General features: G+C 39.2%; 1 protein-coding gene across 7 annotated transcripts in view; it reads left to right on the top strand.

Annotated features, from left to right (window-relative positions):
• THADA (THADA armadillo repeat containing) overlaps positions 1 to 15,258 on the top strand; it is a 365,188-nt gene that overhangs the window by 274,610 nt on the left and 75,320 nt on the right. For all 7 annotated transcript variants that reach the window (NR_073394.2, NR_144316.2, NM_001345924.2 and 4 more), the window contains one exon: positions 889 to 983. Coding sequence is in view for 5 of the 7 variants with exons in the window: in NM_001345924.2 (NP_001332853.1) it covers positions 889 to 983 (95 nt within the window). In the remaining 2 variants the exon portion in view is untranslated. The remainder of the gene's footprint in view (positions 1 to 888; positions 984 to 15,258) is intronic.

Here is a 15,258-nt window from a genome sequence, read left to right as displayed (position 1 = left end):
CAACATGAATTTTAGCAGGGGCAGTCAAACCATAGCAGAGGTGATAATACAGTTCCCATTTTACAAGTCAGGAATCTGATTCAGGTCACAGAGATTGTAAGTGGGAAAGCCAGGACTCAATTGTAGGTCTGTCCCTACTGTCTCTACTACTCACATTGTATTATTAGTACACCAAAGACGTTTTGGCCTTTTCATGGCCAAAGACACTCAAGAGTCAAGGCCCTTCAGTGCTGTTCTTAAAAAGAAAGTCTTTCTTCATCCTTTTGTATATAGATACCCAAATCTGAGCCCACTTACTATTTCTACTATGTTGTTCAAAGAGCTGCTCCATATATTGAATGAAGAAAAAAATCCATTTATTGGGGAAAATGTCATCTCCAGTGTTTGTTAATCTTGCCATGTGTCTATTGTTCAGCTGGTTATTTCAAGTCCACAGATACAGCTTTTCATATGTGAGTGTAATTTTCCTTCTCCACAATACTAAATCTGATTTTCATGACTGATTTTTTTTCCCCCAAATTTCTATACTTAAAAATGTAGAATAATAGAGTACCATCTCCCCACCCCTTCTGTCCCATCTTATTTTCAACTAACTAAGATAGGATCTTGGTGTTTGTTTTCATTTTATTTTATTTGAAGCCAGAGCATAGAGTTGTTATCTATTTTGTCTACACATAGCCTTGGCCTCCATCATATGGTCAAGGATTTCATTTGCTCACATTAGTTGCTTATTTTCTTGCCATCAATGATTGTACATCATTTCTTAATATTTGCCATAGCTGCTTAAGCCCCATCATATACCATAGAAAATACCCATGTTCTCCTTCCTGAGACCCAGACCTAAGGGAGAGAAAATCTCAATTTATATTCTGTTCTTTACCTTTCTAGGCAAAATCCATGTTTGGTGACCAGAGCTGTATATATTGATATTCTCTTCCTATTGACTTGCTGCCTCAACAGATCTGCAAAGGACAACCAGCCAGGTATGATTCATAGTTATACTGTATTTTGGAATCGTTACACATCTTTGAAATGTGGATGGCGTTTTGAGTGGCTCTGCCACACACTGCTCCACCTTCTACTTTTGTAAGACTAACCACACATCAAAATTAAACAGTGTCATATAGTTCCCTCATAGAAGTTTGTCAGGGAAACTTGTTCTTGTTTATTTGGAAGTTTGCCGTTTATTTTCTAGTTGGTCATTCAGGGAAGAGTGAACTCTACTCAGATACCCTCTCTGCATCTACGACCCCGGCTTTTTTCTATTTTATGTATTTTCTTTGAAAGGTCATTATTTTGAATAGCTGTGAGTTCATTCTGTTCCATTCTGTGGAGATAACTGAGCTGGGCTCATTTGATGCTGGGTATTTGAGACTCTCTTCTCAAATCGACCCCTACACCAATGCACTTATGAGTTGCTGCCTCAGACTCTGACTTTCCACATGTTTCTTGGTCATGTAAGTTTCTGGGGATGGACCCCAGATCCACATACAGTTGCTCTATTTTAATCATGATTTGCAAAGTGGTTTTTCTTTTTTAAGGGAAAATGGCAACTCCAAATAAAATTTTTTTGATGTGTTTATATAAGAGGCTACAGGAAGTGCTGTACATGAATTCCAGGCCACGGACTGAAACTGATTTTCATCAGCACAAACTGGAATGCAGGGTAATGAGTCTGCAACTGGTTAAAATCAGCCTCTTCTAATTGATTAGGCCTGTCTAAAGGAGGCTAGAATTACAAAGTCAGATTCTGAGTGCAAGCAGACCAGGCCTTTCCTCTGTTACATTTAGTCTGTCAATGATTTGTTGTCTTCGGTAAATACATTCAGGCTGTCAATGTTCAGCTCTGTTCATATGGAACCCTGTTCCCAAATTCAAACCAATTTAAAATGCTTTGCAGGAGGGAGGTCGGGGAGGTGGGAGCATGCAAAACCGTCTCACCCAGATCGATGTATATTAGCCCACAAAACCCCTGTGGCCATGCAGAGGTAATAAGAACGTGCTAGACTCTCATCAAGTCCACATCCCTGGATAGGAGTAGCTGTTGTATCCTCTTTGTAGTGTAAAATCATATGGTTTTATAGCTATAAAGCAATCCCAGTTTATGCCTCTTATCCCAGCATAATTATTAATAGTGCGCCCTTTTACTCTTGAAAGTGACCAGGTTTGCATAATAAATTACTGGTCACCGTGGCTGTAAGGGACCACAGAGTTGCATCTACTCCAGCTTACCCTTAAGTCAACTGGAGTCTAAAGTTTAAAAAGAGACTATGAATCCAATGTTACCAAGTAAATTGCTTTAGATTTCCACCATTTCTGTATTTCAGTTCCAAATTCCATATAGCTTTGTAATACTTCCCTGCCTATGTATCTAAAGGGCTTTGGCCATAAGAGATTTGTTCATTGCTTACAAATCTACTCACTGGGATTCTGGCAGTTTATGGTTGACTATAATCATTAGTTTATTTGAACTGAGTTTTTCTTGGCTCAGTGCCATTATTCTTTGTCTAGAATGGTTAATCCTTATATGTTGTAAAATACCTTCTTTCTTCCCCAACTACCCATCCTTTACTGATGAGCTGGGTTCCTTGAAGATGACTTTAGCTTTTTTGAACCATCCATTTCTCCAAGCTGTTAACATTATTTAGAGTTTATACCCTAATTAAACAGATCACAGCTTGTTTTCACAAGCTGTGTTTAATAACTTAACAGTATTTCACTTGCATCTATATATTACTCTTAAAGATGTTACTCTACAGAGTAAGATGTGAGGACAGGATGCTTTTATTCTAGTATGACAACCATAGCTCTAAAAATTTTGTCCTGCACTATCCAATACTGCAGCCACTAGTCATATGTGGATCTTGAGCGCTTGAGATGTGGTTGGTCCAAAATGAGATGTTTTGTTAGTGTAAAATACATACTACATTTCAAAGACTTAGTATGAGTTAAAAATAAAATTCCTCAATAATTTTGTATTAATTATGTATGTGTTGGAATGATGTTTTTGACATACTGGATTAAATTTAAAATGTATTATCAAAATTAATTTTACCCGTTTCTTTTACTTTTTAAAATGTGGCAACTAAGGTCAGATGTGGTGGCTCAAGCCCATAATTCAGCACTTTAGGAGGTTGAGGCAGGAGGATTGCTTGAGGCCAGAAGTTTGAGACCAGCCTGGCAGCATAGTGAGGCCTCATCTCTAAAAAAAAAAAAATTTAATTAGCCACATGTGGTAGCACACATCTGTAGGCCTAGGTACTTGGGAGGCTGAGACAGGAGGATTACTTCAACCCAGGAGTTCGAGGCTGCAGTGAGCTATGATCATGCCATTGCTTTCCAGCCTGGGCGACAGAGCGATACCCTGTCTCAAAAAAAATAAAATAAAATAAAATAAAATATGGCAACTAGAATGGGAAAAATAACAAAGTAAAACTGTCATTGAAATATATGTGTTTAACTTTGTCAAATGGAGAGATAGGAAGAATTGTAAATGACATCATAACCCAAAAGGTACATTACAGTAACATTATTAATGATGAAGAATGTGGCTGTTTACATTTTAAATTACATATATATGACTCATTTTTATCAGACAGCACAAATTTTATTCAGTCCTCAGGGAATTGCCCTCATAAAATCGCTAGATGTGTTTGTATTTATGTATATGTATGAATGTTCATGTTCATATAATACATCCACACAAACAGTAGGAGCATATTTTCTTTCTTTGAGGATGGAATAGATTTTTAGAAATAACCAAATACCAAATAAAATGGCAATTAAGATGGAAAGCACTGTTTGGGATAAAAATAAACTGTGCTTAATGTAGTGAAGTCTATTCTTGTGTGTTTTATAAATTGTTCCCCAAAACAGGTTGAGCAATAGATAAATATATCACCAAATAAGGTGATCACTTACTTGGATGTGTAGATTTCAATATGCTTTCAAAATAATGTGATGATATTATAGTTTTAGCATATAAGCTCCTTGAAAGAATGGACCATGTCTTAGATTCTTTGTCGTCTAAGCACATAGTAGGCCCTCATTAAATGGATTTATTAACTGTTTGATGAAATGCAGTTCTCCTCAGTTTTTAGAATAGTAACAGCTGTTATCAAAATACAGATTTTATTTAAACTCATGTATCAAATAGATGTGAATTCATTTTCTGAATTCAAGCAAGGTGTTTATGTGTGTATGTAAATATATATCTGCCTCCATTATTAGCTCACAAAGTCCAGAGTAGGAAGTATACCACATAGACTGAAGCCAAACCTCTGGGTTTGAATCCTAGATCTGCCATTTACTAACTTTGTGACCTTAGGCAAGTTATTTAGCTGCTTTGAGACACGTTGTTTCCATTGTAAAAGGGGACAGTAAGATCTATATCTTAGAGTGGTTGTCAGCTTATACATGTGAAGCTGTCTGTGAAGAATGTGCTTTGCATGGCACAGAATAAATGCTCAATAATATTAACTATTATTAATATTTTTTTGTTGACATGGAGTTTCACTCTTGTTGCACAAGCTGGAGTACAATGGCACAATCTCGGCTTACCAAAACTTCCGTGTCCCGGGTTCAAGCAACTCTTCTGCCTCAGCCTCCCGAGTAGCTGGGATTACAGGCATGTGCCACCACGCCTGGCTAATTTTGTATTCTTAGTGGAGACGGGGTTTCTCCTTGTTCGTCAGGCTGGTCTCGAACTCCCAACCTCAGGTGATCCACCCGCCTCGGCCTCCCTAAGTGCTGGGATTACAGATGTGAGCCACCGTGCCCAGCCTATTATCATTATTATTCGCTGGAAGCTATGCATCTAATCCAGTCTCCTCCAGCCGTGCAGCATTGTGTTCACCTCCTCGCCTTCACTGTTCTCATATTTTTAAACATCTTCAGGAAAGAAGAAATGCCTGCTTTCCTAGGAAAACACTGCAGTATAACATACCTGGCTTAGAATGTCAGGAGTCCACTTGATTAGGGTTGCCCCTGTCCCTCTGACTGATCCAGAAAAAGATCATTTTTTTTCTTGTTTATTTATTTTTTCATTCATCAGACCTGCTAGCCTCAGAGATATATTGAGCACTTGTATCTGGAGATAGAGATGAATATGCCTTGGTCTTATAAGTAGGTGCAATGAAGGATTTTTCAGATGCTGTATTAAAGGAAGTATGTATGGGACACATTTGAGGCACTAAAGAAAGATCATTTCTACTTGAGAGGACAGGAAAGACTTCCTTGAAGAGGAAGTGGTTGAACAGAGTTTTGACAGTGGGTAGGGATTCACCAGGATGGGCAAGGTGGAGGTAGGTATTACAGACAGAGGTAGAAGCATGGCCAAAGCTGTAAGGGCACAAATCAAGCACAGCCTTCAGAGCACTAGGGACATGGCAACTGGGGTGTTGGGTTCAAGGCCAGGCAGGTGTGACTGGTGAGGCTGAGGAGGCAGAAACTCAGTCATGGAAGGCCTCATTCACAGGCCAAAGTCCAAGGAGCCTCAATTTGACCCTGTAGACAAAGGAGTTCATTGGACGATCTAAGACAGAGAGTAGGACTGTGTGGTTTTTAAGACAATGTGACATTTCTTTCTCTGCCCTCATCCTTACAGGATTTTTAGGACCCTTATGGAACCAAGTTCCTAGTGTCACTCCAAAATAATGTAACTGGCTGGATGCAGTGGCTCACGCCTATAATCCCAGCACTTTGGGAGGACAAAGCAGGAGGATTGCCTGAGGCCAGGAGTTCGAGATAAGCCTGGGCAACATAGCAAGACTCCATCTCTACAGAATTTTTTTTTTAATTAGCTGGACATGGTGTTATGTGCCTGTAGAGTCCCAGATACTCAGGATGCTGAGGCAGGAGGATCCCTTCAACCCAGGAGTTCAAGGCTGCAGTGATCTGTGATCACACCATTGCAGTCCAACCTGGGTGACAGAGCAAGATCCTGTCTCTAAAAAAAAGAAAAAAAAGAAAAAAAAAGAATGTAACTGGAGATGCATTCACTTTGCTTTTGCCCAGCCATTTTGATAATCAATATTAGGGGTTTGGGAGGTAGGGAGTGGGGAATGGAGGAACAGACTAGAATGAAAGCCAGCGCTATGGTAAAAGGAATTATTTTAGAATGGTGGGATTACAGGGGAGATTCCTTCTCTTATTTTCTATTTTACTAATTTTATGAAACATAATTCTGTTTCATTATGTGTATATACATATGTTTAAATTAAATGTATTTAAATATGAATCTTGAAAGGGATTGATTATTCCAAAGGAAATGAAGTAATAACAATTTCAGGGAAACTTTTTTGGATGGAGGAGCATCTGCTCATCCCCTCTCCAGTCCTATTCTGTAAATGGCCTTGGAAGGCTGTTCCTACCTCTGACATGTCTTAGAACCACGTTGAAGGGCTAGGGGCATAAACAAGGAGAAAAACAGTGAAGGAGAAAGGCAGAGAAGATTATTAGAAAAGCTTAAGATAATGATGTGTTTTATGTAATTCAAACTTTTATCATAGTGCTTCCCAATCATTTGAGGTTTCCTCAGCCATTAACTAGGTTTTAAAATTTTCAAATCTGGGGGTTTTGTTTTGAGTTTTAAACCCACAAGGACTCTCTGTCCCCTGTGTTCTTTTTCCTCTTCTGAATCCAGCTGTCATCGTTAGTATATATCAGTTTCCTGCTGGAATGGAAAGAAAATTATAGTGTCCAGTTGTAGTTGAGGGAACAAGAAAGAAAAAGCCGAACTGCCACAAGGACTCAGAGGGCTGGGTCTCAGGCTGGGCAGCGACATGGAGACGAGAGCTTTAATTCTTATATTAAACCCATCTTAAATTATTTGCTCTCAGGTTGGAAATTTTCCATTGAAATTTCTGTTTACAGAAATACTATCTAAGACTTGACTAAATATTTACCCCTTTGACAGATGGACTTTCTGTTTCTCTTATGCCCACACCCCTTAAAATTGTGTCTGTCACAGCTACTGAATTGAACATTTTCTTTTACCAAGTATTTAAACAAATACCTACCTGCACTTTCAGACTTTCATTTTAAGCTCTCTTGTTGGGTTTTATGAGCGGGTTTTTCCTTTCCTAGTCTCCATTTTATAAATTTTATGCAACTTGGTTCTTTTATAATTATGTGTATGTGTAATATATTGAAATATGACTCATGAAGAGGATTGATTAATCCTAAAGAAATGACATAGCAATCATAGATAGGAATATTTTAGGCTGATAAGGATTTGTCCATCCATACCCTTCATATAAATGATCTCAGAAGGCTGTTTTCCTACCCCTGAAATATGGATAGGATGCCCATTATACCCTCATTTTTAGGAAACATTGTTTTCAATCTCATCCTCCTTGTTTGTAGGGGGCTATAATAATAGTGGCCAACATTTATTGAGCATCTATCTCTATGCCAAGCACTGCCAAGCATTTTATGTGCATTAATGAAGAAAGTACTAATGTTCCTTCATGAGACCACAGAAACTGAGGCATAGCGAGAAGTGCCTAACATCCCATGTGTGCTAAGGTGGCAGATCCTGAGCTCTCCAGCTGCCCTCACTGTGGCCTCACGGCACAACCAGGGCCAGAGTCAGGAAACATCAGTCACTCGCTTAGGGAAGGGAGTCCGAGAACCCTCTTCGTGGACTCAACTTCCCAGGCTTCTGTCCCTGCTGCAGAATGCCCAGGCCACAGAGAAGGGACCCCCTTTTCAGGAGCTTCCACGTCACAGGCTTTTATGGGGCCTTTCTTGCTTGTGTTTCTGTTTCCCATCCTGAGGGTGTGTGGAATAATACGAGAGCCTACCCAGGACTGGAGCGTGTTATTAGAAAGAGCACGCTTGACTGCTCCCGGGCAGCCACCTGCCCTTTTTCCCTTGGAAAGTGGACCTATGGCCACTGCACAAAACACTTCCTAATACCAGGCTGCTGGTGACTACATTTTGTGGTTTCTTTGTTAGTTGATATTTATAGTTCAGATCTCATCACTCTGCCAAGTGCAATAAACATTTTGTTTTAACTGGAATATAACTTTTATTATTGTTATTATTTTTCTTTTAAATGTCTTAAAAGTGACCAGCTTGTGCAAGTGGAGTCAGAAACCCTAAATAGTCTAAATGCCAAGTCAGTGCGCTCTGTAGATCAGTGTACGATTAGAAGACAGGCTCTCATTTATTACTGCTTGTATTTATATAATGGAAGTTAGGTAACATAAGCCCCTCTGCAGGCCAGCTTAGATGTTGATGATGCTTAAATGGTAAAATCTGTGAGAAATGTTCAACAATGCCCTGTATTTGTACTGCCTAAAACATGAATAATACATATGTGACATGAATAAATAGGTCAGTGATTTTTATGACATATTAATTTCCTTTACCTAAGTTCCTGGGAAATATAGCTGAACAGTTACAGAGAATGAAAACAAACACTGGCATCTTACAAACACCTGCTTTGATTATTTAGTCTAATTAGGTTAAATTTAACTATTTCCATTTTAACAAATTGAAAACAATTCTTATCTGTTCCTCGGTCATGCACTTTATCAGTGTTGGATGCAGATGTGTTTAATATGACACAGTTGGTGCTGTTTTCTCAGCTCTGGGTGGGAAATAAAAAGGAATTGAGAACATATTTTTAGAGTCTTCTGGGGACTTTGTATTTCTGGGCCTATAGCTATGAAATTTTAAGGAGGAGGAAAAAAAAAAAAAAAAAACAGGCTTTGTTGTCAATAAATTAGTTGGTTTTCCCCAAAACACTGGAACTGTCATCTGAACTGCTGCTTGTGCCAAAATTATCTTTCCCAGGGAACAGTGAGCTTCTAAAATAACAGATGTTTCCTAGCTGTCTTTCAGAAGTCAGAATAATATAGGGTATGTTATTAGATTGCTAGGTTAACGTGGTGTTTACTCTGTTAATTCCAAACCTTGCGCTGAGTACAGAGGCCCACAATTCTTTAGAAATTTAGTTTAGAGATCATAGCAATTTAAGTGACTTACCCAAGGTTACACAGCTGGTTAGTGAAAAGGGTGAGCTTTCCTGACTCCTTATTCACCGTCCATTTCTGTGACCAAAGTTAAAGGCCTCATATAATGTGAGAGTTGTGTCTGTGGCAGAACCGTGTCATGAAACCTTCTACCCACATTTTCATCCCAGGAGTGAAATACCGTTCTAGTCAACAACTAGGGTCTCAGAACATCTGTGATTTCTTTTTTTTTTTTTTTTGCAGCTTTGTCACCCAGGCTGGAGTGCAGTGGCACAGTCATGGCTCGCTGCAGCCTCAACCTCATGGGCCCAAGTGATCCTCCTGCCTCAGCCTCCTGAGTAGCTGGGACCACAGGCGCATGCCACTATGCCAACCTAGTGGTTTTTCTGTTTTTGTTTTTAATTTTTTATTTTGTAGAGAGAGGTCTCCCTTTGTTGCCTAGGCTGGTCTCAAACTTCTGGGCTTAAGCAGCCCTCCTGCCTCGGCCTCCCAAAGTGCTGGGATTACAGGCATGAGCCACCATGACCGGCCACATCTGTGGTTTCAGTGTTCTCTGTTCCTGCCTTTCCCAGCTCCAGCTGCACATCACAGATAATCTGAAAGTAGTTGCCCATGTCAGTTAAATTTTTATGCAAGTAGTTTTTGAAAGTCTATTTAAGATATTTCATGTAAATGGAATCATACCTTTGTGGCCTTTCATGTGTGGATTCTTTCACTTAACATGTTTTGAAGGTTCATCCATGTTGGTCATTTTGTTCTTTTTATGGCTGAATAATATTCCAGTATATAGATATCACATTTTGTTTATCCATTCATCAGTTTGATGGACATTTGGGTTGTTTTCACTTTTGGGTTGTTATGAATAATGCTGCTATGAGCATTCATGGGCAAGTTTTTGCTGGGACCTGTGTTTTCAATTCTCTTGGGTATTTACCTAGAAGTGGAATGTCTGGGCCATATGCCAACTCTAAGTTTAACTTTTTGAAGAATTGCTAAATTGTTTCCAAAGAGTCTGCAACCATCTTACATTTTTACCACCAGTGTATGAAGTTTCCAGTTTCTCAATATCCTTACCAACTCTTACTGTCCATCTGTTTTATTAATAGCCATCCTAGTGCTGGGATCTAATTGTGCTTTTGATTTGCATTTCCCTAATGACTAATGAGTTTGAGCATCTTTTCTAGTGCTAGTTGGTCATTTATATATCTTCAAAGAACGGTCTCTTCAGATCCTTTGCGCATTTTTAAGTGAGTTGTCTCTTTTTTTTTTTTGAGACGGAGTTTCGCTCTTGTTGCCCAAGCTGGAGTGCAATGGCACGATCTCGGTTCACTGCAACCTCCGCCTCCCGGTTTCAAGCGATTCTCCTGCCTCAGCCTCCCAAGTAGCTGGGATTACAGGCATGTGCCACCACACCTGGCTAATTTTGTATTTTTAGTAGAGACAGGAGTTCACCATGTTAACCAGGCTGGTGTCGAACTCGCTACCTCAGGTGATCTGCCTGCCTCAGCCTCCCAAAGTGCTGGGATTACAGGCGTGAGCCACCGCGCCCAGCCGAGTTATTTCTCTTTTTATTCTCAAGTTGTAAGGGTTCTTTTTATGTCCAAGATATTAATCCCTTATAAGACACACAGTTTGCAAATATTTTCTCCCTTTCTGTGGATTTTTACTGTCTTCATAATATCCTTTGATGGACAAAAGTTTTTAGTTTTGAAGTCCATTGTATCTGTTTTTTATTGCTTGTGCATTTGATTTCATGTCTAAAATAATTGCCTAATCCAAAGTCACAAAGATTTGCACCCATGTTTTCCTCTGGAAGTTTTACAGTTTTAGTTCATAAGTTTATGATCCATGTTGAGTTAATTTTTATATCTGATAGGAGGTACAGATTCAGCCTCATTCCTTTGGCATATGTGACTATCCATTTGTCCTAGCACTGTATTTCAAAAAGACTATCCTTTCCCCATTGAATTGTCATGGCACCCTTGTCAAAAAGTCAGTTGACCATAAATTAGGGGTTTGTTTCTCGATTCTTAATTGTATTCCATTGATCTATGTATCTATCCTTATGCCAGGAGCACACTGTCTTGATTATCATTACTTCATAGTAACTTGAAATCAGGATGTGTGAGTCCTCTTTCTTCATTTTTCAACATTGCTTTGCCTATTCTGGGTTCCTTGCATTTTCACATGAATTTTAGGATCAGCTTGTTTGGGGGGGGGGCGGGAAAGGGAGGGAGGGAGGGAGGGAGGAAAGAAAAAGCCAGCTGGAATCTTGATAGGGATTGCATTAAATCTGTAGATCAATTTGAAGAGTACTGCCATCATAACAATATGATGTCTTTAAATCCACAAACACTGGATGTCTTTCCATTTATTTAGGTCTCTTTAATTTATTTCAGTGGGTGTTTTATAGTTTTCAGTGCACATATACTTCATGCACATCTTTCATTAAATAATTTGTTCCTATTCTTTTTGATGCTGTTATAAATAGAATTATTTTCTTAATTTCATTTGTGGATTGTTCATTGCTACTGTATAGAGCTACAATTGATATTTGTATATTGATCTTTTATCCTGCAACATTACTGAACAAACTTATTAGCTCTAATAGGTTCTATTGTGGACTCCTTTTTTCTTGACTAATTGCTCTGGCTAGAACCTCCAATACAGTGTTGAATAGAAGTGGCAAGAGCAGACATCTTGTCTCATTCCTGATCCTAGGGGATCTTAAAGCATTCACTCTTTTACCATTAAGTATGATGTTAGCTGTGGGTTTTTTATAGATGCCTTTTGTCAGGTTGGAGAAGTTTTTTTCCATTTCTAGTTTGTTGAGTGCTTTTACCACAAAAGAATGTTGAATTTTGGCAAATGACCTTGCTGTGCCTGTTGAGATGATATTGTAATTTTATCCTTCATTCTGTCAATATGGTGTGAGTTGTGACATTTTATTGCTGAGTAGTATTCCATTGTGTGTATGGCTTGTTTATACTAATTTACTAGTTGATGGTCATTAGGGTCGTTTCCACTTTTTGGAGATCGTGAATAATGCTGCTCTGAACATTCACATAGAAGTGTTCGGTCATATGTTTTCATTTCTCTTGGGTAAAAACCTAGGAAAGGGGTTACTGGATCATATGATAAGGATTGTTTAATGTTACAAGAAACTACCAAAATGTTTACCACTTTGCATTCCCACCTTGCATTCATGAGAAGCATGGCTGATAATGTTGAGCATCTTTTCATGTGTCATGTTTGACTATGTATGTCTTTTTTGGTAAAGTGCCTATTCACATCTTTTATACATTGCTTTTTAAATTCGAGTTGTTTGTCTTACTGGGTTGTAAGAGTTTTTTCTAAATACAAGCCCTTTATACAGGTAAATGTTTTGCACAGTTTTTACCTGGCTGTGGCTTGCCTTTTCATTTTCTTAACATTGTCTTTTGAAGAGCAGACATTTTTAATTTTGATAAGGTCAAATTTATCCATTTTTTTGTGTGTTTTAGACTTTTTATGCCCTAGTGAAGAAATCCTTGCCTATTCCAAGGTCACAAAGATGCTCCCTCAAAACTTCTTCTAAAGTTTTGTAGTTTTGCATTTAACATTTAGATCTGTAGTCTATCTCACGTTAATTTTCATGTGTATCATGAGATATGGTTGGCATTCTTTTTTTTTTTTTTTTTTTTTTTTTTGGTATGGGTATCCAATGTTTCAGCACCATTTTTTGTTTGTTTCTTTCTTCGTTTCTAGAGACAGGGTCTTGCACTGTCTCCCATGCTGGAGTGCAATGGCGAGATCATGGCTCAATGCAGCCTGAAACTCCTGGGCTTAGGAAATCCTCCAACCCCAGCCTCCCGAGTAACTGGGACTACAGGCACATGCCACCATGCCCTAATTCTTAAATTTCTTGTAAAGACAAGGTCTCACTATGTTGCCCAGATTGGTTTTGAATTCCAGGGCTCAAGCACTCCTCCTATCGTGGCCTCCCAAAGTGTTGGGATTACAGACGTGAGCCACCGTGCCCAGCCCCCAACACCATTATTGCTTTAAATATTTCCTCCATCTCTTGCCCTTTTTCCTTTCTTTCTGTGATTCCATTCAAATGTAAATTAAGTCACTTGAAGTTGTCCCATATGTCGCTGATGCTCATTCTTTTTTTTTAATCTGTTTTACTTTTGATAGCTTCAACTTTTGTGACTCTAAATTCACAAACTTTTTCTTTTGCAGCGTATAACGTACTACTGTTCTCTTTTAAAAAGAATGATACAGGGTCTCACTGTGTTGCCCAGGTGGCCTTGAACTCCTAGGCTTAAGCAATCCTCCTCCCTTGGCCTCCCAAAGTGCTGGAATTACAGATGTGAGCCACTATGCCCAGCCTCTGCTATTATTTTCATCTTGTGAATTTTTTTTAATTTTAGATACTGTATTGTTCATCTCTAGAAGTTTCATTTGTGTCCTTTTTATATCTTCTATATCTCCCTTTATCATGTTCAGTCTTCCTCTAGATTCTTGACCATATGTAGCAGGTGTACGTAACTGTTTTCATGTTCTACTTTCTAATTTCATTATTGCTGTCATTTTAGGATATTTTTAAATTTTTTTTCTCCTGGTTATGGGTTATATTTTCCCACTTCTTTGCGTGCTTATAATTTTTTATTAGATGCCAGACAATGTTAATTTTATGTTGTCAGGTATTGGATTTTGTTTTATTCTTTAAAGTGTTGGACTTTGTTTTAGCACACAGTTGAGTTACTTAGGATTGGTTGGATTCTTCCAAGACTTGCTTTTAAGCTTAGTTCTGGTGGGTTCAATCCAAAGAGGAGCCTTTAGTTTAGGGCAAATGTAGCTCCTCTAACAGGATCCTTCTGAGGTCCTACATGATGTCCCATGTGTTACAAGGTCTCTACTCTGGGTGAGAGAACACATAACTATTGTGAGCCTACATGAGTTCCAGGAATTGTCCAGCTCACTGCTTTCTTGCAGTTCTGCAGTTCTTTTTCTAGCCTTTCAGAGTTTCACCCCTTGCATGTGCAAATCAGTATTCAGCTGAAAGATTCACAGGGTCCCTTGGTCTACAGATCTCCAGAGCTCTCTCACTATACAGATTTGTTCTCTCCGGTATTGTGCCCCACAAATTCCAGCTGCCTGAGTCTTCCCAAACTCTGATATCTCATCGTTTCAACTGAGCCAAGACCTCTGGGCTCTGGGTTCCTCCTCTCTGTACTGGGGCTTAGAAGTTGCCTCTTGGCAGTAAGCTCAGGCAATTGTAATGCTTCCCTTATTGTCTTCTTGTTGAGTCTTGCATTGCTCATATCCAATGATTAAAAACAATAATTTCATACATTTTGTTCAGTTTTCTAATTGTTTATGGTGGAAGGACAGTTCCTGCAATGGTTAATCTTTCATAGACAGAAGCAAAAATCACTTCCATCACCTTGTCTTGAGGCCTCTTGGTTCTTCAACTGTAAAGTGGGCATAATACCCTCAGAGGATTGGGATAAATGTCATAAAAATTGTGAATAGTCACATTACAAGAAAAAGCCAACATTGGGAGAACAGCAGCTATCAAGAGATAAAACTGATAGCAAGAACAAAGAAATGAATGGCCATCACATCCAGGGTGGAAGCAGCTGGATCCTGACTCCCAGGCTCATTTCCATTGATTACCTGGCAGAATTAACCTAACTCCTCTCTCCATGTTGGGGCTGGACTTCACATTAAAATAGGAGCACTCCTAGTACAACCAGATTTTGTTGGATTTTGCTAGCAGCTGTATACTGCACCTTGCAACATCACAGATGATTTGGTGCCAGGAACCTCTTCAGTCTCAGACTCTACAGACCCTCAACCCCAGGGGCATTCCCAGAACTAAATTGTAGCACTAGCAAGGGACTGAGATGGGTGATCCTAGCCTCTCTTACTACAGGTGAGGCAACAGAGGTAAGCCCATTATGTAAAGGAATCTTCCCAGTTAGCAGTTGACTCCCAAGTTGGTTTTGCAGTATCCCATGGACTAAGTGTGGAAGAGAAGCCCCAGGTCCTTTGTGAGTTAGAGTTTAAATTAAACAGGGTCATGGTGGACAAATTTCTGATTCCCAATCCTGTTCTTCGGACCAATTCGCCGAAAGAACCAGAAGTAGGCCGAGCGCAGTACCTCACACCTGTAGTACCAACACTTTGGGAGGCCAAGGCAGGTAAATTGCTTGAGCCCAGGAGTTCAAGACTAGCCTGAGCAACATGGCAAAACCCCATCTCTACAGAAAATACAAAAAATTAGCCA

The sequence above is a fragment of the Homo sapiens genome, chromosome 2, assembly GCF_000001405.40.
Source record: "Homo sapiens chromosome 2, GRCh38.p14 Primary Assembly".
In the NCBI taxonomy this organism is placed as follows: domain Eukaryota; kingdom Metazoa; phylum Chordata; class Mammalia; order Primates; family Hominidae; genus Homo; species Homo sapiens.
This window is presented reverse-complemented; position numbering and strand designations above follow the sequence as displayed.